Here is an 18,239-nt window from a genome sequence, read left to right on the forward strand (position 1 = left end):
CGCCCGGAGGCCAAGACCCCCGAGCGCCGCAGCATAGCGTAGCCCAGACCAGTCACCTCATCCTTTTTCGCCCTCTCAACCCAGCTTTTCCCGACTCCGGGAAGAACCGGGAAGAGAAGGCGGAGGGGAGCGAAGCGCCGCCTGATAAATACTGTGGCCCAGTCCCGCCCCCCTAACGTCACTTCCGCCCCGCGCCAAGATGGCGGCGCCCAGGCCCTGCCACGCAGACTTCCGCCCGGCGCGGAGACCGAAGGCTGGCGGCTGGTCGCGTTGCAGGTGAGGTTGTGACGCGCGGTGTGGAGCCGCGGCCCGGGTGCGTCCCTGTCTGGTTCCTGGGCGGGGTTCCTGGAGAGGGCGTGTCGCGAGCCAAAGGCTCTCACCTGGGTGGTCCCGGGAGTCTCGCCACGTGGGAGGGGAGGAGCTGAGAGGCCACTGGAGGGACGCACCGACTGGGGGACCGGAAAGCAAGGGGGTGGGGTTCCGCCAGGGTCCGCGTGTCAGTCCCCTCTGGTGATCTCGTCGCCCCTTCTCTCCCAGGCAACATGTCGGAAGGAAACGCCGCCGGCGAGCCCAGCACGCCGGGAGGGCCCCGACCTCTCCTGACTGGGGCCCGGGGGCTCATCGGGCGGCGGCCGGCGCCTCCCCTCACCCCCGGCCGCCTTCCCTCCATCCGTTCCAGGGACCTCACCCTCGGGGGAGTCAAGAAGGTACCCAACGGCGCGTTTCTAAAGAAACTCAACTACCTTGAATTCCAAGCCCCAGGATTCAACTAATGTTTGTGTAGGACCTACTGTGTGTCAGGACTGTCGTTGGGCCTCTCAAGCCTACCCCTCTTTAAATTCTAGGGAGTCTGTCCTACCTTCAAATCTAGGTACTGAGTACAAGATGTTGAAATGACTCCCAGAGGTGGTTGAAGGGCAGAGAATCCTAATAAGTTAAAGTCGTTCAAAAGCAATTTGAACAGTGTTTATTTACTTTTATTGTGTGTTTGGACATCTTTAAGAAACCCATGAAAGCCAGACAGGCATAAACTTCGCAGTCTTAGAGGGTTCAGAATTCACCATCTCTGTGTGCAAACTTTTTATCTAGAGTATGATGAATCCTAGGTATGGCATTCGAGGCTCTGTGGCCTCTCCCATGTGTATATGACTGTGGATGTCAAGAGTAGCCCAGAAAGGGGTGGGGTCAGGATGACAGAAGAACAAAGCAGGTTTTGGTTTTGGTTTTGGTTTTTTTTGAGAGGAAGTCTCGCCGTTGTCCCCCAGGCTGGAGTGCAATGGCACGATCTCAGCTCACTGCAACCTCTGCCTCCCAGGTTTGAGCGATTCTCCTGCCTCATCCTCCTGAGTAGCTGGGATTACAGGCGCCCGCCACCATGCCCAGCTGATTTTTGTATTTTTAGTAGACACAGGGTTTTGCCATGTTGGCCAGGCTGTTCTTGAACCCCTGACCTCGTGATCCGCCCGCCTGCCTCGACCTCCCAAGGTGCTGGGATTACAGGTGTGAGCCACCGCTCCTGGCCGAATAAAGCGGTTTTTTGGTTTTTTGTTTTGTTTTTAAGGGAATCTCTTTCTGTCGCCCAGGCTGGAGTGCAGAGGCACCATCTCAGCTCACTGCAACCTCCGCCTCCCGGGTTCAAGCGATTCTCCTGCCTCAGCCTCCCGAGTAGCTGGGATTACAGGGGCCCGCCACCGCGCCCAGCTACTTTTTGTAGTTTTTAGTAGAGACGGGTTTCACCATCTTGGCCAGGCTGATCTTGAACTCCTGACCTCGTGATCCACCCACCTTGGCCTCCCAAAGTGCTGGGATTACAGGCATGAGCCACAACGCCCAGCCATAAAGCAGTTTTTAAAAACCTAACTTTGCCTTGGAAAATTGTGGTGACAGTCCATAGTCACCTGATTGAAAGTGTTGGCAGATCTATGGCCTTCCCTACTTAGGCCTTGCTGCTAGAGCTGTTCCCCCATGATACTGACTGGTCTCTATAGCAGTTTGAAGAGAAGAGGTGAGACCAGAGAAATTCCTTTGCTTTTAGAAGTCCCAGAGGATCTTCTTTCAGAGGCAGAACCTAAGGCTGCTGGTTAAAAGTGGGTTTTGGTGCCCCCTTCTATGTGTAACTCCACTGCTACCACACTATGACATTCCTCCTTTTCAGGCACATGTGTATCTATAAAACTGACAGCACTGTGGAATGTGCCAACGAGAGCCGTGGTGGCCTTGGTCTGTAGAAGATGCCCTTTGGGAATTTTTATTTTCCTCTGTACTTTGGGGTCAGAACCTAACACATCAGTGACTCCTGTATTTTGCTTTCAGAAAACCTTCACCCCAAATATCATCAGTCGGAAGATCAAGGAAGAGTAAGTAGCTAGGCCTTCTGAATACTTGCCCCTTATTTACTTGCTCTGAATTTGGGGCTTTGGGGGAAATAACTAGGTTTGTAGCTCCAAAATTTAAATTTATATCTTTAGTTCTTTTCACTAGTGATTTTCAACCCTGGCTCCTAGGTGATTCTGCAAGCTTTAAAAAATAAATAAATAAATAAATAATTACTGGTGTCTAGGGTTCCATCTTTAGAAATTGTGATTTAACTTGCTGGCAGTAGAATGGAGTGATTCTCTTTGTTGCCCGAGTTGAGAGCCAATAGTTTAAACAAAGATGTATCACACTTTCCCTGAAGTTCCTTTGCATTTCTGCCTTCCTGCTTTCAGTCCCAATGCAAACAAAAATCTATATTTTTGGACAAGAAGGTAAAGTAAAGCAAACTGAAAAAATCCTGCCTCATCAAGGAAGTGAGAAAAGTGCTAGAATTAGGATTGGATTCTGCTTCTCATGGTGTAAATATTGGCTCAAACTCTCCACTGTTTTGGAGTGAAGTGGTATGGGAGAGTAAGGCCAGATTTTGGAGACACAGTGAGTGAGTGGTTTCCCTTAATCCATTCTTTTTTCCAGGCCCAAGGAAGAAGTAACTGTCAAGAAGGAGAAGCGTGAAAGGGACAGAGACCGACAACGAGAGGGGCATGGACGAGGGCGAGGCCGTCCAGAAGTGATCCAGTCTCACTCCATCTTTGAGCAGGGCCCAGCTGAAATGATGAAGAAAAAAGGTATAAGGAAGGAATCAGTGAATTTCAGTTCAGACTGCCCCAGAGAAGGGCGAGAACAGTGGAATTTCCCCACTCCCATTTCCGTTTTCCTTGCTGTTGGGCATCTTCCTTATCGATCCCTAGTGACCTGGGTGATTTCCCACAGGGAACTGGGATAAGACAGTGGATGTGTCAGACATGGGACCTTCTCATATCATCAACATCAAAAAAGAGAAGAGAGAGACAGACGAAGAAACTAAACAGATCTTGCGTATGCTGGAGAAGGACGATGTGGGTACCAGGAGGCTGGGGGAAGGGGTTTCCTTGTGGCTGTAGAACAGGGCTTCTGGGGAGCCAGGTGAGGGGTAGAAGAGCTTACTGATGTCCTGGAATCCTGGGGAGCAGCGGAATCTTTGGTTAGAAAGGGACTAAAGCAGACTTTGATCCAGGTGCATGTGCTAGCAGGCTGGATGACCCAGACTCTCTTTGGCAGTTCCTCGATGACCCCGGCCTGAGGAACGACACTCGAAATATGCCTGTGCAGCTGCCGCTGGCTCACTCAGGATGGCTTTTTAAGGAAGAAAATGACGAACCAGATGTTAAACCTTGGCTGGCTGGCCCCAAGGAAGAGGACATGGAGGTGGACATACCTGCTGTGAAAGGTACTCTGTCGGTTAACTTCTCATCTCCAATTCCATGGCTGCTCCCCAGGAATCCCGTGCATCAGGCATCCCTTGCATGTGCCCCTGACTGCTGCTCGTGAGCAGGTCCTCCCATTCCGGCTGTAAGATACATGAGCTGAACAAAGATGCTCCATTCTCCCTCGCAGAGGGTTCCTGTGTTGACAGGGAGCAGTGGGCCTAGCCTCAGATGTCCCTTTTTAGATAAGTCATGTGAGACTTGAACGTGTTGTCTCTTGCCCCTCTGTATAACTGGTGCCTCCTTCCCACTCCCTGGCTGAGTGACAGTGGAGCAGACAGGGGCAAAGGGCTGGTAACAGTGAGCTGGTATGGAGGGTGGTCACTTGATAGCATTCCATGTCTATCACCCGGGCAGTGAAAGAGGAGCCACGAGATGAGGAGGAAGAGGCCAAGATGAAGGCTCCTCCCAAAGCAGCCAGGAAGACTCCAGGCCTCCCGAAGGATGTATCTGTGGCAGAGCTGCTGAGGGAGCTGAGCCTCACCAAGGAAGAGGAACTGCTGTTTCTGCAGCTGCCAGACACCCTCCCTGGCCAGCCACCCACCCAGGACATCAAGCCTATCAAGACAGAGGTGCAGGGCGAGGACGGACAGGTGGTGCTCATCAAGCAGGAGAAAGACCGAGTACGCTCAGACAGAGGCCTGCGGGAATCAAGTCGGGGACTGGGACGGGAAGTGGTGACCTGTAGTGGGAAGCAAAGCCGTGTCACCCTGGCTGAAATGGGACAATAATGGGTGGTTATTCTTGACGCCTGCAAGAGCCATGGGGCTTTGTACCTCCAACCCCAATTGTGTATGTGTTGTGGGGGTGTGTGTTCACTTCTTATAAGGAAATATTTCAAACACAAATGAGAGAACATATGGCCAGATGCGGTGGCTCATGCCTCTAATCCCAGCGCTTTGGGAGGCTGAGACAGGAGGATCACTTGAGCCCAGGAGTTCGAGACTAGCCTGGGCAACGTGGTGACACCATGGCTAATACAAAAATTAGCCAGGCATGGTGGCGTGTGCCTGTAGTCCCCGCTACTTGGGAGGCTGAGGCGGGGGAATGGCTTGAGTCCAGGAGGCAGAGGTTGCAGTAAGCCTAGATCATGCCACTATACCCCAACCTTGGCGACAGAGTCAGACCTTGTCTCAAAAAAATAAGAGAACGTAAACCGCCATGTACCAGAACTCAGCTTCAGCAGTAACTGATATTTTGTCCGTGTATGTATTTGTTTGCTGTGGGTTTTGTATTTTAACCATAGCAGACAGCCCTAGGAGAAGGCACTCTTTGGGGAGCTCATTTTGACCTTTGCTGTGCCTTTCTCTTGGGGAGTAGAAGGGGGTTCATGAAAGATGGAGGAAAGAGCTCCTAGCCCAGTGTCCATCCTCTGGTTTTCTCCGCAGGAAGCCAAATTGGCAGAGAATGCTTGTACCCTGGCTGACCTGACAGAGGGTCAGGTTGGCAAGCTACTCATCCGCAAGTCTGGAAGGGTGCAACTCCTCTTGGGCAAGGTGACTCTGGACGTGACCATGGGAACTGCCTGCTCCTTCCTGCAGGTAAGAGCCTCCTTAGGGGCAAGGAGGGACCCTTTCAGGAGTGAAGGAGGATTGAAGAGCCACTGCTAAATAAGGGAGGGGGTTTCTGGGAGTATCATGTCCCCATTCACAGCTCTACACGCCGGGCACGTGGTGGTGGTTCTCATCACTGTCTCTGTTAATTGGCAGGAGCTGGTGTCCGTGGGCCTTGGAGACAGTAGGACAGGGGAGATGACAGTCCTGGGACACGTGAAGCACAAACTTGTATGTTCCCCTGATTTTGAATCCCTCTTGGATCACAAACACCGGTAAAATGAGCAGGTGGAGGAGGACGGCGCCTGTGCCCACGGCTGCTGCCTGCTCCAGACATTTTGTTCTTGAATCTGTGAGACCCAGAAGGGGCCCACTGAGCCCACTCACTCCAGCCTTTGGCAACCATTGTTCCAGGTCCCCCAGGGCTTCCTCCCACAGCAGCTGTGAATGGCACAGTGACCTTCCTGCAGCGTGGAGATGGCACATCCTTGCTGCTGGGGACTTGGCCCTGCTATTTATTTTTGTATTTATGTCTTAATCTCTTCCACTGATGCATCCTCCAAGGGTAGATGGGGAGGGTCTGTGTGAAGGGGCCGGCTTCTCTTGGTGCCTGCTGGGTTGCAGGGGCAGGAAGCGTGTGGACTGCAGCTTCTGCTGGTGCTCCCCCCGTCCTCCTGGAGGCAGTATAGGAGAGAGAGCAAGGATTGAGTCTGAGACTTAAGCACTCGGTCCCAGCTTGCCAGTTCCTGGTTCTGTGTCCTTGGACAAACTACCTAACCTTTCTGAGCCTCCTATACCTCATCCGACACAAATGGGGATGATACCTACCTCCAGGGTTGGCGTGAGGATTCATGGGCTATTATAGATGAAAACTGCACAAGGCCAGAACCAGCAGGCACTCAATAAACGTTCATGTCCTTTTTCTCTACCTGAGTCTATTTTCAAACAAAATAGAGATTCTAAATCTCCCAGAAGCAGCGACTAGAGCTGCTCCCGTCCCCACTCTTGCCCCTTCCTGCTTTATATCCCGTCCTCACCCTGGGCCTGATGCCCTAAATTTATGGTGTCAGATTGTTCTATGCCTTTTTCTCCTGGCTCCTGTTAGCCAGGTGCCTCCTGTGTGAGTTACTGTAATAGCTGCAGGTAATAGAAAGGAAGAAGTCAGAGACCCCTCCCAGCACCCTACAAAAGCCTTTGGGGGACATGTTGGGCCCAGGACATGTTCCCTGCACTCTTTCCTTTGCAGTTAGTACTCATGTATGAGCCGAAGTCATATATTGCTAACAAAAAAACTAAATCCTTCATAAGAGAAGTTAGGGATGTATTGAATAATGGCCTCTTTGACACTTGGCCGATGATGCCCACTTCAAAAACTTTGGGTTTCAGAGGCCTGCCCGTCTCCTGTCCTAGCACTGCCAGAGCCACCTACTCAGTGTTACTTTTTTGGGTCTGTGATCCTGTTCCCTTTACCAGGTCATTGTACTGTGTTGTCCCTGGAGGAACAGCTTCTCCTCTTGTCTTGACAGTAGGGCTGGGGTTTTCCCTGGTTCAGCTGGGGAGACGTTTGCAGGTTAGAAAAAGGTCTCATGCGGCAGCGTGTGTGGCTGTTAGACGCTGATGGCACAACTTCCCTTTGCTGGCGTCGTGGCACCTGGCCTCTGGGACAGTATGAACCATAGGGGCTCAGGAAGAACCGCTTCCCCTCCACCCCCATCCCTGATTCCTAGTGGCCCCTTAGATTTTGGGTACATCTTCCTTCAGGCTCACCTTCCTTCTTTTCAAAGTTCCTCAAGCCTGTTACTCATTTGTCAAGGCTGGGCTTCTCCTACAAAGCCCTCAACCTGCCCAGCCAGCAGCTGTGAGGCTGACTGAATATTTGGTGACCATATCACCCTTTCTGGTGCTGAAGCTCATGTCAGCTCCATTGGACAGTGTTATTCTGGGCTCTTCTCACTGTAGAGGACTGGAGCAGAAAGGGTTCCTTGGAAACCTGTGCTGGGAAGCCCTGTTTGGTCTAAGGCTAAGCTTTGGTTAACTCTGGGCTCCAGCCCTTTCTTCCTTTAAATAGCTGATGCACGGCCAGCAGGTCTCCATTCTCATCCTCTCTTTCTATTCTGTTTCTTTGGTTCAGAAATACTCTTCTGCTTTTTTTGGACGAACTCAATGGCCCGATGTTAGATATTGGGTATTTTTCAATCTTCTGTTTTCTGACCCTTCCAAGAAAGTTTGAGGAAGAACATGTACTGCTTTCACGTTCATTTCGCCCATTCAGATGTCTTGGCTTGAACCTTATGACTCCGTATCAAAGTCCTCACAACCTGTCTCAGATCCCTGATGCACAAATTAGGTCTTATTAATAAGTGTGGGAAAAGAGAGGAGAGTCCACCTTCTTGGTCAGGCCCCTGAGGCATGCATTTCTACCAAGGAATATGGACAGATGACAGAGGAGAAGAGCCCAAAGCCAAATTTATACATGAGTGCAAGTGGATGCAAATTTGTTGCTCCCTGCATCTGTGTATATGCTTTCTGTTAAATACAGAAAGAAGGAACAATAGGCTTGCACACTTTTCTAACTACATGTTTAAGTGGCAGAGTCCAGGCTGTCGAGTCACGGTTGGGTTTGAATCTGACTCCACCAGTAACTTTGGTTGGAAAAAATCACTTATCCTCTTTAAGCTTGATTTTATTTATTTTATTTTATGTAAGAGTGAGACAGTAGTAGCTTAATAGGGTTGCTTTTAAATTAGAGTGAACATGAGGCATTTATTCGGTGCCAGACAGATAACTGCCTATAACAGGATGTGATCAGCACAAGTAACAGAAAATTAGCCTGACGGTGGCTTAAGCAATGGGAATGTTTATCTCACATAGCAAAAAGTCTGTAAATAGATGGTTCTAGAGTTGGGTGGAAGCCAAAATGTCATCAGGATTTCCTTGGAACCGTCTGCTTTGCCATCCTCAGTATTGCAGAATGGCTGCTCCTGCGCCAAGCATCATTCTGCAAATGATGGTGTCCACAGCCAGAGTGGACAGTAGTACAGGAGCCTTCTCATTCTGCCCTTATCCGGGAATAACCGTCAGCAGCTCCAGCAACCTCCCCCCTGTCTCTTTATAGAGTGGGGCCACGTGCCCACTCTTGGACCAGGCCCTGGCAAAGGGGGATGGGTCGACTAGTGTATCCCCTGGCACTGAGCACACTTGCCCTTGAGCTGGGGTTTTGTTAGTAGGGAGGAAGCTGGAGTGGCAGTTGGATAGACAATTCATAGTAGCTGCTGCCATGTTCAAAAAATGCTGCAATGTAAAATCATAAAGTATTCATCTAGGCATAACTTTTTAAAATATTCAGTCACCTTTTATTCTACTAAAATCAATTTTAACATTTTAGTGTATATTATTTTATTTTAGATTCAGCAGGTACATGAGCATGTTAGTTTTGTTTTGTTTTGTTTTGTTCTGTTTTGTTTTTTGAGATGGAGTCTCACTCTGTCGCCCAGTGGTGTGATCTTGGCTTACTGCAACTCTGTCTCCCAGGTTCAAGTGATCCTCCCGCCTCAGCCCCCCAGATAGCTGGGATTACAGGCACATGCCACCACACCTGGCTAATTTTTGTATTTTTAGTAGAGACGGGAGTTTCACCATGTTGGCCAGGCTGGTCTCAAACTCCTCACCTCAAGTGATCTACCTGCCTCAGCCTCCCAAGTGCTGGGATTACAGGCGTGAGCCACTGCGCCCAGCCACATGTGCGTGTTTGTGTATATTGCGTACTGGTGGGGATTGGGCTTCTGTCATACCTATCACCCAAATAGTGAACATTGTACTCAGGTAGCATTTCAACCCTTGCCCCCCCTCCCACTCACCCCCTTTTGGAGTGCCCAGTGTTTGCTATTTCCATCTTTATGTCCATAGGTACCCATTATTTAGCTCCCACTTATAAGTGAGAACATGTGCTATTTGATTTTCTGTTTCCGAGGTTAGGATAATTACCTCAAGCTCCATCCATGTGGCTGCAAAGCACATGATTTCATTGTATTTTATGACTGCTCATGTATATTATTTCAGCCTCCAAAATTTTGTATGTTATTTATAATGATATAAATTATGTGGTTTTATCGTGTACTCTATCTCACTCAGAAATACATACAATTCTTCGTTCCCAGCTACTCTGGAGCTGAGGTGGGAGGATCACTTGAGCCCAGGAGTTCAAGACCAGCCTGGGCAACATGGTGAAACCTTGTCTCTGAAAAATAAATAATACACACCCACATGCACACACATCCAGTTCTTCCATGTTAATGAGTATGTTGTGTTTCACATACTTCTGAATTAGCCGAAGGAATTAAAGGTAGCATCTTTTAATCCTCAGACTGCCCTGCGTGGTCCGATTGAATTGGGCAGTCAGCACTAGGCTCTTCAAAGGGAAACAGGCTTCTTTCTTAGGACGGTGCACAGTGAAAGAGTGGCACACACGCTGTTCATCCAGTGCTCCAACCCCCAGTCCTGGTGTCAGATACTTCTACATTTGGGGCATTTCCCCTTGAGATGGCTGTGGCTAGCGACACATGATGTGAACACCTCTCTTGGATTGTGGTTCGGCCGCACAAGGCCCCATCAGAGTTCTACAGGTGGAGTGTGGGGCCCAGAAGGGGCTCAGGTCTTAGGGGTGTCATCTGAAAAAACAGAGATGGTGATGGGACACCAGTTCTAGGAGCCCTCTGCATGGCCACTTTCTGCCTCAGCTCTTCTAAAGCATTTCTTCTGTTCCCTTCCATTGGGGTAACCACTGATCTGTCTTCCCAAAAACTGAGTCAGAAGTTGGACTTTGTTACTTGGCTCATCTACATTTAAGATATAGTCAGAAAAAAAATGCAGTCTTTACATCTTAAGAAAGCTTACATGGGCCAGGCGCAGTGGCTCACACCTGTAATCCCAGCACTTTGGGAGGCCAAGGTGGGCGGATCACCTGAGGTCAGGAGTTCGAGACCAGCCTCAACATGGAGAAACCCCGTCTCTAGTAAAAATACAAAATTAGCTGGGCGTGGTGGTGCATGCCTGTAATCCCAGCTACTTGGGAGGCTGAGGCAGGAGAATTGCTTGAACCTGGGAGGCGGAGGTTGCGGTGAGCCAAGATCACGCCATTGCACTCCAGCCTGGGCAACAAGAGTGAAACTCCATCTCAGAAAAAAAAAAAAAAAAATAGAAAGCTTACATGAAAGAAAAAGAAAAATGCAGTCTTGATCACTGTTGGCCTGGAGACTTTATCTTGTGTGTTTTCCAGGGCGTGCATGAGGTTTCACTGGACAAGTAGAAACCATTCTAGGTATTCAGAAAGAGTTAATACAAGAAGAGAAGTTTATAGACTCGTTGGAAGGCTGGAGGAGTGAGCCATAGGTTAAGCATCCAGGAATCAGCACCCCCTAGAACAGATGGTGAGGGAGCTACACCCTCTGCCACAATCAGGAGGGTGGAGACTCAAGCTCGACTGAGTTCCGGAACACAACACACTGCCACAGCTGCCAGCCAGGGGTGAGGGAATCCCACAGCCCCAGCTGCCTCTGGGGAACCATACAGCTGTAGCTGGACCCTGGCACACCTGAAGAAAGTGCCTGCTGTGTGCTAGGCACCCTGCAGGAGTTAGGAAAGCAGTGGTTAGGGGCTGTGTCCTGCTGGAGGAGCCTGCACTCTAGTGAGGGAGACAGGATAAGCTTAAGGAAGGACGTTAAAAGGTGACAAGAGTTTGGGAACTTGCAGGGAGCAGGGGATTCTGGGTGGTGGCGGGCATGTTGCAGCAAGTAGGGTAGGTCTCCTTGAGAGGGTATCGTTTGAGGAAGTGAACCAGCGGGATCAGATGCAGGTGGGGAGAGTGCTCTGGGCTGAGTGAAGAGTAAGACAGAGACTGGCTGGAGCTGAGGGAGTGAGAGGGGTGGGACCTGGCCCTGGAGGGCTTTTAGGCCATGGTAGGGACCTTGGCTTTATTCTTTTTTTTTTTTTTTTTTTTTTTTTTAGACGGAGTCTCGCTATGTTGCCCAGGCTGGAGTGCAGTGGCGTGATCTTGGCTCACTGCAACCCCCACCTCCCAGGTTCAAGTGATTCTCGTGCCTCAGCCTCCTGAGTAGCTGGGATTACAGGCACCCGCTACCAAGCCCAGCTAATTTTTGTATTTTTAGTAGAGACAGGGTTTCACCAGGTTGGCCAGGCTGGTCTCAAATGCCTAACCTCAGGTGATCCACCCGCCTCGGCCTCCCAAAGTGTTCGAATTACAGGCGTGAGCCACCACACCCAGCCCGGCTTTATTCTTAAAGTGACCTGGTGAGCCAGCTGGTGTGGAGATGAGGCGGGAAGCAGGGCTGATGGAGTCCCTGGACAGTGGATGGCAGTGGCTTGGCCAGGCCGCTAACAGCAGGGGCACTGGGAAGTGATTGGATTCTAGATACTGATTTCAAGGGTAGCACACACGTGATCTGCTGATAGATTCCATGTCAGGTGTGAGAGGGAGGAGAGTCAAGCTCATCCACAGCTCTGGCAGCGGAAGACGGCCAAAGTGAAGAAGGTGGCCTCAAGTTTACCTCCACCTTCCAAACCTCAACTGGTAAAACCTCATGCATGCCCAGAATGCTAGCACAAGAGATTTAGGGAAATGTGGGTATTTTGCTTTCTGGCCCTGCAGTTCAGGTTCCACCTTATAAAATGGGAGTGGCGTGGGTGGTGGGCGCCACCAGCCATATTCACGGGAGTTAGCATAAGGGTTCACAGTTTGAGTGAAGCTTCCTGAGACTGTGCCGTGCTGCCAACACAGTTCTCTCCGATTCATTCCCTCAAAACAGTATATTCCCAATGAAAGCACGACCAGTACTTAAACTAGCCATGTTCAGTGTGGCTCTCAGACCTTTCCCCAGGGCAAGATGATCACAAGAATTCCTTTAGGAACGTCTCTTAAATTGTACAACTAAAGTTTAATGGTTATATTAGAATCCGTCTTCGTACTATGAAAATTCACCCAACTGATCTCCCATTTCTGGGATATTTAGATTTTTTCTAGTTTTTCATCGTTTAAAAAATGATGCAGCCTGGGGTGGTGGCTCATGTCTATAATCCTAGCAGTTTGGGAGGCCAAGGCTGGTGGATCACTTGAGCTCAGGAGTTTGAGACCAGCCTGGGCAACATGGTGAAACCCCATCTCTACCAAAAATATAAAACTTAGCCAGGCATGGTGGCTTGCTCCTGTACTCCCAGCTACTTGGGGGGCTGAAGTGGGAGGATTGCATGAGCCCAGAAGTGGGAGGTTGCAGTGAGCTGAGACGAGATCGCACCACTGCACTCTAGCCTGGGTGACAGTGAGAACTTGTCTCAAAAAATAAATAAATAAATAAAATCCATTAAATTGCCAGTGTCCTCAATTATTTCCTTAGGAGTCTCTATTTAAAATGGTTTTCCTGACCAGACTGGGCAATGTAGCAAGACCTGGTCTCTAGAAAAAAAAAATTTTTTTTAATTAACTGGGCGTGGTGATATGAGGTTATATAGCGCCAGCTACTCTGAAGGCTGACGTGCGAGGATCAGTTGAGCCCAGGAGTTTGTTAAGTCCAATCCTATGAGATTTTTAAGGATTTTGATAGATTTTTCCCTCCAGAATGTTTGCATCTATTCACATGTGCATCAGCAGTGCATTTGTAGTTAAATGTGTAGTTAACGTTCTGTTTTTAAAACTATACAAATGTTGGGCCAGGCGCCATGGTTCCTGCCTGTAATCCCAGCACTTGGGAGGCCAAGGTGGGTGGATCACTTGAGGCCAGGAGTTTGAGACCAGCCTGGCCAAAATGGTGAAACCCTATCACTACAAAAAATAAAAAATTAGCTGGGCCCATGGTGGCACGCGCCTGTAATCCCAGCTACTCAGGTAACTGAGGCCCAAGAATTGCCTGAACCAGAGAATTGCTTGAAGCCAGGAGGCGGAGGTTGCAGTGAGCTGAGATCACGCCACTACACTCCAGCCTGGGGGACAGCGTGAAACTGTGTCTCAAAAAAAATATATATATATATATACACACACACACACACACACACACACACGTACATGTGTGTGTGCATGTGTGCAAATGTTGGGCCAGGCAGCGTGGTTCCTGCCTGTAATCCCAGCACTTTGGGAGGCCAAGGTGGGCGGATCACCTGAGGTCAGGAGTTCGAGACAAGCCTAACTAACATGGAGAAACCCTGTCTCTACTAAAAATATAAAGTTAGCCGGGTGTGGTGGTGCATGCCTGTAATCCCAGCTACTCAGGAGACTGAGGCAGGAGAATCACATGAACCTGGGAGGTGGAGGTTGCGGTGAGCCGAGATCACACCATTGCATTCCAGCCTGGGCAACAAGAGTGAAACTTTGTCTCAAAAAAAAAAAAGAAAAGAAAATATGGTAAATGCGTGATTTTTATTAAATATATAAACTGATACAATGTGAGTGCTGAAGAAAAAATTCTTATTTCTATGGAAACTAAGGTAAAGGCTTTGGCAAGATTAAAGATGAGGCTGAGCGCAGTGGCTCACGCCTGTAATCCCAGCACTTTGGGAGGCTGAGGCGGGTGGATCACTTGAGGTCAGGAGTTCGAGACCACCCTGACCAACATGGTGAAACCCTGTCTCTACTAAAAATACAAAAATTAGCTAGGCGTGGTGGCACAAGCCTGTAATCCCAGCTACTTGGAAGGCTGAGGCAGGAGAATCACATGAACCCAGGAAGTGGAGGGTGCAGTGAGCCGAGATCACTCCATTGCACTCCAGCCTGGGCGACAGAGGGAGACTCTCTCAAAAAAAATAAAAAAAATAAAAATGATGTGATAGAGGCTGTTGGTTGTTCCTCAATATCCAAATATCCACTCTTTCCTTCTTCCATGATAATGAGCCTTGACTTTTAGGAGGGCACGTACTCATTCAATACAAAGACCACATTCTCAGCCTCTTTTGAGAGCAGAGGTGACTCTATCATTACTTTCTGGACAATGGCATGTAATCATAAACATGGGGCAGTGCTAAGGTTTGGATGTTTGTCACCTTCCAAAATTCATGTTGAAATTTAGTCCCCAGTGCAACAGTACTAAGAGGCGGGACCATTAGGAGGTGATCTGACCGTGAGGGCTCCCACCTCGTGGATGGGATTAGTGCCCTCATTAAAGGGCTTGAGGGAATGTTTGTCCCTTTTCCACCTTCCACCATGTGAGGACATAGCAACAAGGCATCATGCTTGAAGCAGAGAGGGCAAGCCCACAACAGCCACTAAATCTGCTGGCATCTTGATCTTGGACTTCCCAGCCTCCAGAACTGTGAGAAATAAATCTCTATTTACAAATTACCCAGTCTGTGGTATTTGTAACAGCAGCCAGATGGACTAAGACAGGGAGCTCCCAGGAGCTTTCCTTAAAGGAGACATGATACATGCCTCTGTTAGTTGGCAGGGGTGGGGGAATTATGAACCTTTATTTAAAGATTTATTTTTAAAAATAAAATAAGTAAAACAAACTACCATTCTCCTTGTCTGTTTACTCTACCATTCCCCTTTTCCTATGTCCTCAAGCCTCCAACGCCTCTCCCCAGTTCTCACTCTCAGCTGAGAACACTGCTTCTCAGTGCATTAAGAAAATAGAAGCAATCAGCCAGGCGCAGTGGCTCATGCCTGTAATCCCAGCATTTTGGGAGGCCGAGGCAGGTGGATGACCTGAGGTCAGGAGTTCCAGAGCAGCCTGGCCAACATGGTGAAACCCCATCTCCACTAAAAATACAAAAATGAGCCAGGCATGGTGGCGGGTGCCTGTAATCTCAGCTACTCAAGAGGCTGAGGCACGAGAATTGCTTGAACCCAGGAGGCGGAAGTTGCAGTGAACCAAGATCGCGCCACTGCACTCCAGCCTGGGTGACAGAGCAAGACTGTGTCAAAAAAAGAAAAAGAAAATAGAAGCAGTTGGAGAGGGTGTGGTTCCCACTACCACATCTTGAGTCTGCGTCCAGGTGCCTGTTCTTGCCTCCTATTCCTATGGATGAACTGTCTGGCCGGGCGCAGTGGCTCACGCCTGTAATCCCAGCACTCTGGGAGGCCGAGGCAGGCAGATCACCTGAGGTCGGGAGTTTGAGACCAGCCTGACCAACAAGGAGAGACCCTGCCTTTACCAAAAATAAAAAAATCTGCTGGGTGTGGTGGCACATGCCTGTAATCCCAGCTACTTGGGAGGCTGAGGCAGGAGAATTGCTTGAACCTGGGAGGCAGAGGTTGCAGTGAGCCAAGATTGTGTCATTGCACTCCAGCCTGGGCAACTAGAGCAAAACTCCTATCTCAAAAAAAAAAAAAAAGGAAACCTATGGATGAACTGCCTGCTCCTCCCTGAGACAAGACCCTTCAGTGGGCCTTAGATCCCATTCCCTCTTGTCCACTCAAAGGATACGGCTCCAGCAAACACCTCCCTCACCCACTTACCCACACATATTGATCCCCTTCACACACATATAGACCACTCCCATATTCACCCACTCCCCACACATATAGACCAGCCCCACAGGATACAAAGCAGTAGTCCCCTCCTATCTGCAGGGGACAAGTTCCAAGACCCCCAGTGGATATTTGAAACTGGAAAGCACTGAGCCCTAGATATACTATGTTTTTTCCTACTCATACATACCTATGATGAAGTTTAATTTATAATTTAGCACATTAAGAGATTAACAGCAGTAAGGAGAACAATTATAACAATATACTGTAATAAAAGTTATGTAAATGTGGTTCTCTCTCAACATCTTATTGTACTCATCCTTGTGATGATGTGAGATGGTACAATGCCTTTGTGATGAGATGAGGTGAGTGGCATGGTCATTGGGGCACAGTGTTAGGCTACTACAGACTTTTGAAGATACATCAGTAGGAGGATCATCTGCTTCAGGTGATCCTGGACTACTGAGCCATGACAATGTAGATGGTTTATGTCAGGGGCTATGTGTGTGCCTTGCCTCCTTTCCTGGTACTTCCTCATCTCTCCAGCTCTAAATATGGAATGCCCAGGGCTCAGGCCTTTCAAGGTTTCTCTTATCTGTCTACCCTGCTTCCCTCAGCAATCTCAGCCAGAATCATGGCTTTAAACTTTCTTTTTTTTTTTTTTTTTTTTTTTTTTTAGACGGAGTCTCACTCTGTTGCCCAGGCTGGAGTGCAGTGGTGTGATCACGGCTCACTGCAAACTCCCCTCCTGGGTTCACGCCATTCTCCCGCCTCAGCCTCGTAGCTGGGACTACAGGCGCCCACCACCACGCCCAGCCAATTTTTTTGTATTTTTAGTAGAGACGGGGTTTCACTACATTGGCCAGGCTGGTCTTGAACTCCTGACCTCGTGATCCGCCCACCTTGGCCTCCCAAAGTGCTAAGATGACAGGCATGAGCCACCGCGCTCGGCCAGCTTTAAACTTCCTATGTCTAGTGAGCTGTGATCGTACCACTGCACTCCAGCCTGGGTGACAAAGCAAGATCCTGTCTCAAATAAAAGGAGAAAGAGAATGGGGAGGTGGACGGCTCACTGCAGCCTCGACCTCCCAGACTCAACAATCCTCCCACGTCAGCCCCCTGAGTAGCTAGGATTATGGCTAATTAAAAAAAATAAAAATTAGAGGCAAGGTCTCACTTTGCTCCCCAGGCTGGCCTTGAACTCCTGGGATCAAGAGATCCTCCCGCCTCAGCCTCCCAAAGTGCTGAGATTATAGGCATGAGCCACCACACCATGCATCTCTTTCTCCCTTTAAGAGGTCCAGTTACCTCTTTGAAAATTAGAATGGAACTCAGCTCTTTCCCCTACTGTTAGTACTTACTAAATAAAAACTGTCTTCACTGCTTTAACTGGTGTCTGGCTTTTTAATTTTTAATTTTCTTTTTTTTTAGAGATGGAGTCTCACCCTATCACCCCATCTGCAATGCAGTGGTGTGGTTACTGCTCACTGCAACCTCGACCTCCCAAGTTCAAGTGATCCTCTCGCCTCAGCCTCCCGAGTAGCTGGGACTACAGGCACACACCACCATGTCCGGGTAATTTTTAAAATTTTCTGGTAGAGAGAGGGGCCTCACTATGTTGCCCAGGCTGATCTCAAACTCCAGGCCTCAAGTGATTCTCCTCCCTCAGCCTCCCAAAGCACGGGGATTACAGGCATGAGAAACTGTGCCTGGCCTGGCTTTGTTTCTTTGACAATTCTAACAAACTTAAAAAAAAAATCCTGAGACAATTAGGGACATTTGTATATTGGCTAGATATTTGATAATATTAAATGATTGTTGTTCATTCTTTTGAGCTGTGATAATGGTGTTGTGGTTATGTTTTTCAAAATAATCCAAAGAAATTTATCCAGACTATTAGCATCTCTCCCCACTTCCAGCACTACCACTCTTGGCCAAACATCCTTTGATCAGATAACAGATTTTTACATTTGCCTCTTTTTTTCTTTCTTTTTTTTTTTTAGGCAGGCACACATCACCATGCCTATCTAATTTCTATATTTTTTGTAGAGACAGGGTTCAGCATGTCGGTTGCCCAAGCTGATCTCAAAATCCTGGGCTCAATGAATCCTCCCGCCTCAGCCTCCCAAAGTGCTGGGATTACAGGGATGAGCTACTACGCCCGGCCCCATTTGCCTCTTCAATGATACATCACCCCCTCCTACCCACCGCCCGTCTGTTCAGTCTGTTACAGAAGTTAGCATGGGACCCTCCTGGGGCCCCTGGGGCCTCATGTCCCACTCTCCTCCCAGGCCATCCCACTCCAGTCGCACAGGTCTTGCTACTTCTGTCGCACAGCAGGCTGGTTCCAGGTGCAGAGCTTTCCCATTACTTTCCCCCCTGCCTAGAACTTGCTTTCCCCAGATAGCTGCATGTCTTGTTTCCTCCATTTCTTCGGGT

The 18,239-nt window shown here is 49.0% G+C and overlaps 1 protein-coding gene, 1 long non-coding RNA gene and 1 other non-coding gene across 3 annotated transcripts in view, besides 7 other annotated features; 1 reads left to right on the forward strand and 2 right to left on the reverse strand.

Moving 5' to 3' along the window:
• Positions 1-668: an enhancer, noted in NCBI's record as "H3K27ac hESC enhancer chr8:22102421-22103088 (GRCh37/hg19 assembly coordinates)". NCBI's record gives its function as "activates a minimal SCP1, AML or CMV promoter by ChIP-STARR-seq in primed H9 embryonic stem cells {active_cell/tissue: H9 hESC(primed)}" and the evidence as "EXISTENCE:reporter gene assay evidence [ECO:0000049][PMID:30033119]".
• Positions 1-695: a biological region, named in NCBI's record as "H3K27ac hESC enhancer GRCh37_chr8:22102421-22103088".
• MIR320A (microRNA 320a) lies at positions 59-130 on the reverse strand. The gene has a single exon (NR_029714.2). It is a non-coding gene; the product is annotated as a microRNA 320a (primary transcript).
• Positions 136-205: an enhancer, noted in NCBI's record as "active region_27077". NCBI's record gives its function as "activates an Ori minimal core promoter by ATAC-STARR-seq in GM12878 lymphoblastoid cells {active_cell/tissue: GM12878}" and the evidence as "EXISTENCE:reporter gene assay evidence [ECO:0000049][PMID:35858748]".
• POLR3D (RNA polymerase III subunit D) lies at positions 226-9,694 on the forward strand. Its single transcript, NM_001722.3, has 9 exons — positions 226-276; positions 538-707; positions 2,314-2,357; positions 2,950-3,101; positions 3,247-3,371; positions 3,574-3,742; positions 4,137-4,402; positions 5,168-5,320; positions 5,489-9,694. The coding sequence occupies exons 2-9, from the start codon at positions 543-545 to the stop codon at positions 5,609-5,611; spliced, it is 1,197 nt and encodes a 398-aa protein (NP_001713.2). The 5' UTR covers positions 226-276; positions 538-542; the 3' UTR covers positions 5,612-9,694.
• Positions 516-695: a silencer, noted in NCBI's record as "silent region_18983". NCBI's record gives its function as "represses an Ori minimal core promoter by ATAC-STARR-seq in GM12878 lymphoblastoid cells {active_cell/tissue: GM12878}" and the evidence as "EXISTENCE:reporter gene assay evidence [ECO:0000049][PMID:35858748]".
• Positions 1,330-1,499: an enhancer, noted in NCBI's record as "experimental_102829 CRE fragment used in MPRA reporter constructs". NCBI's record gives its function as "activates a minimal promoter by MPRAs in K562 erythroleukemia cells, with activity observed for both the introgressed and non-introgressed 8:22103835 variant alleles {active_cell/tissue: K562}" and the evidence as "EXISTENCE:reporter gene assay evidence [ECO:0000049][PMID:34662402]".
• The window catches only part of PIWIL2-DT (PIWIL2 divergent transcript), a 20,587-nt gene continuing 12,016 nt past the window's right edge, over positions 9,669-18,239 (reverse strand). The window contains exon 2 of the long non-coding RNA NR_134293.1: positions 9,669-9,999. This is a non-coding gene — a long non-coding RNA (PIWIL2 divergent transcript). The remainder of the gene's footprint in view (positions 10,000-18,239) is intronic.
• Positions 16,513-16,682: an enhancer, noted in NCBI's record as "experimental_102832 CRE fragment used in MPRA reporter constructs". NCBI's record gives its function as "activates a minimal promoter by MPRAs in K562 erythroleukemia cells, with activity observed for the introgressed 8:22119018 or rs147647718 variant allele {active_cell/tissue: K562}" and the evidence as "EXISTENCE:reporter gene assay evidence [ECO:0000049][PMID:34662402]".
• Position 16,598: a transcriptional cis regulatory region, noted in NCBI's record as "Neanderthal adaptively introgressed variant 8:22119018 (GRCh37/hg19 assembly coordinates) or rs147647718 in the experimental_102832 CRE". NCBI's record gives its function as "modulates activity of the experimental_102832 enhancer by MPRAs in K562 erythroleukemia cells {active_cell/tissue: K562}" and the evidence as "EXISTENCE:reporter gene assay evidence [ECO:0000049][PMID:34662402]".

This window comes from Homo sapiens, chromosome 8 (assembly GCF_000001405.40).
Source record: "Homo sapiens chromosome 8, GRCh38.p14 Primary Assembly".
Taxonomy (NCBI): Eukaryota; Metazoa; Chordata; class Mammalia; order Primates; family Hominidae; genus Homo; species Homo sapiens.

What these genes read in the sequence shown, in the direction of transcription:
- POLR3D (NM_001722.3), top strand. Translation starts at nt 543, where the DNA reads ATGTCGGAAGGAAACGCCGCCGGCGAGCCCAGCACGCCGGGAGGGCCC. An exon ending in AGTCGGAAGATCAAGGAAGA is followed by an intron (nt 2,358 to 2,949) that starts GTAAGTAGCTAG and finishes TCTTTTTTCCAG; the next exon opens with GCCCAAGGAAGAAGTAACTG. An exon ending in GGACATACCTGCTGTGAAAG is followed by an intron (nt 3,743 to 4,136) that starts GTACTCTGTCGG and finishes TCACCCGGGCAG; the next exon opens with TGAAAGAGGAGCCACGAGAT.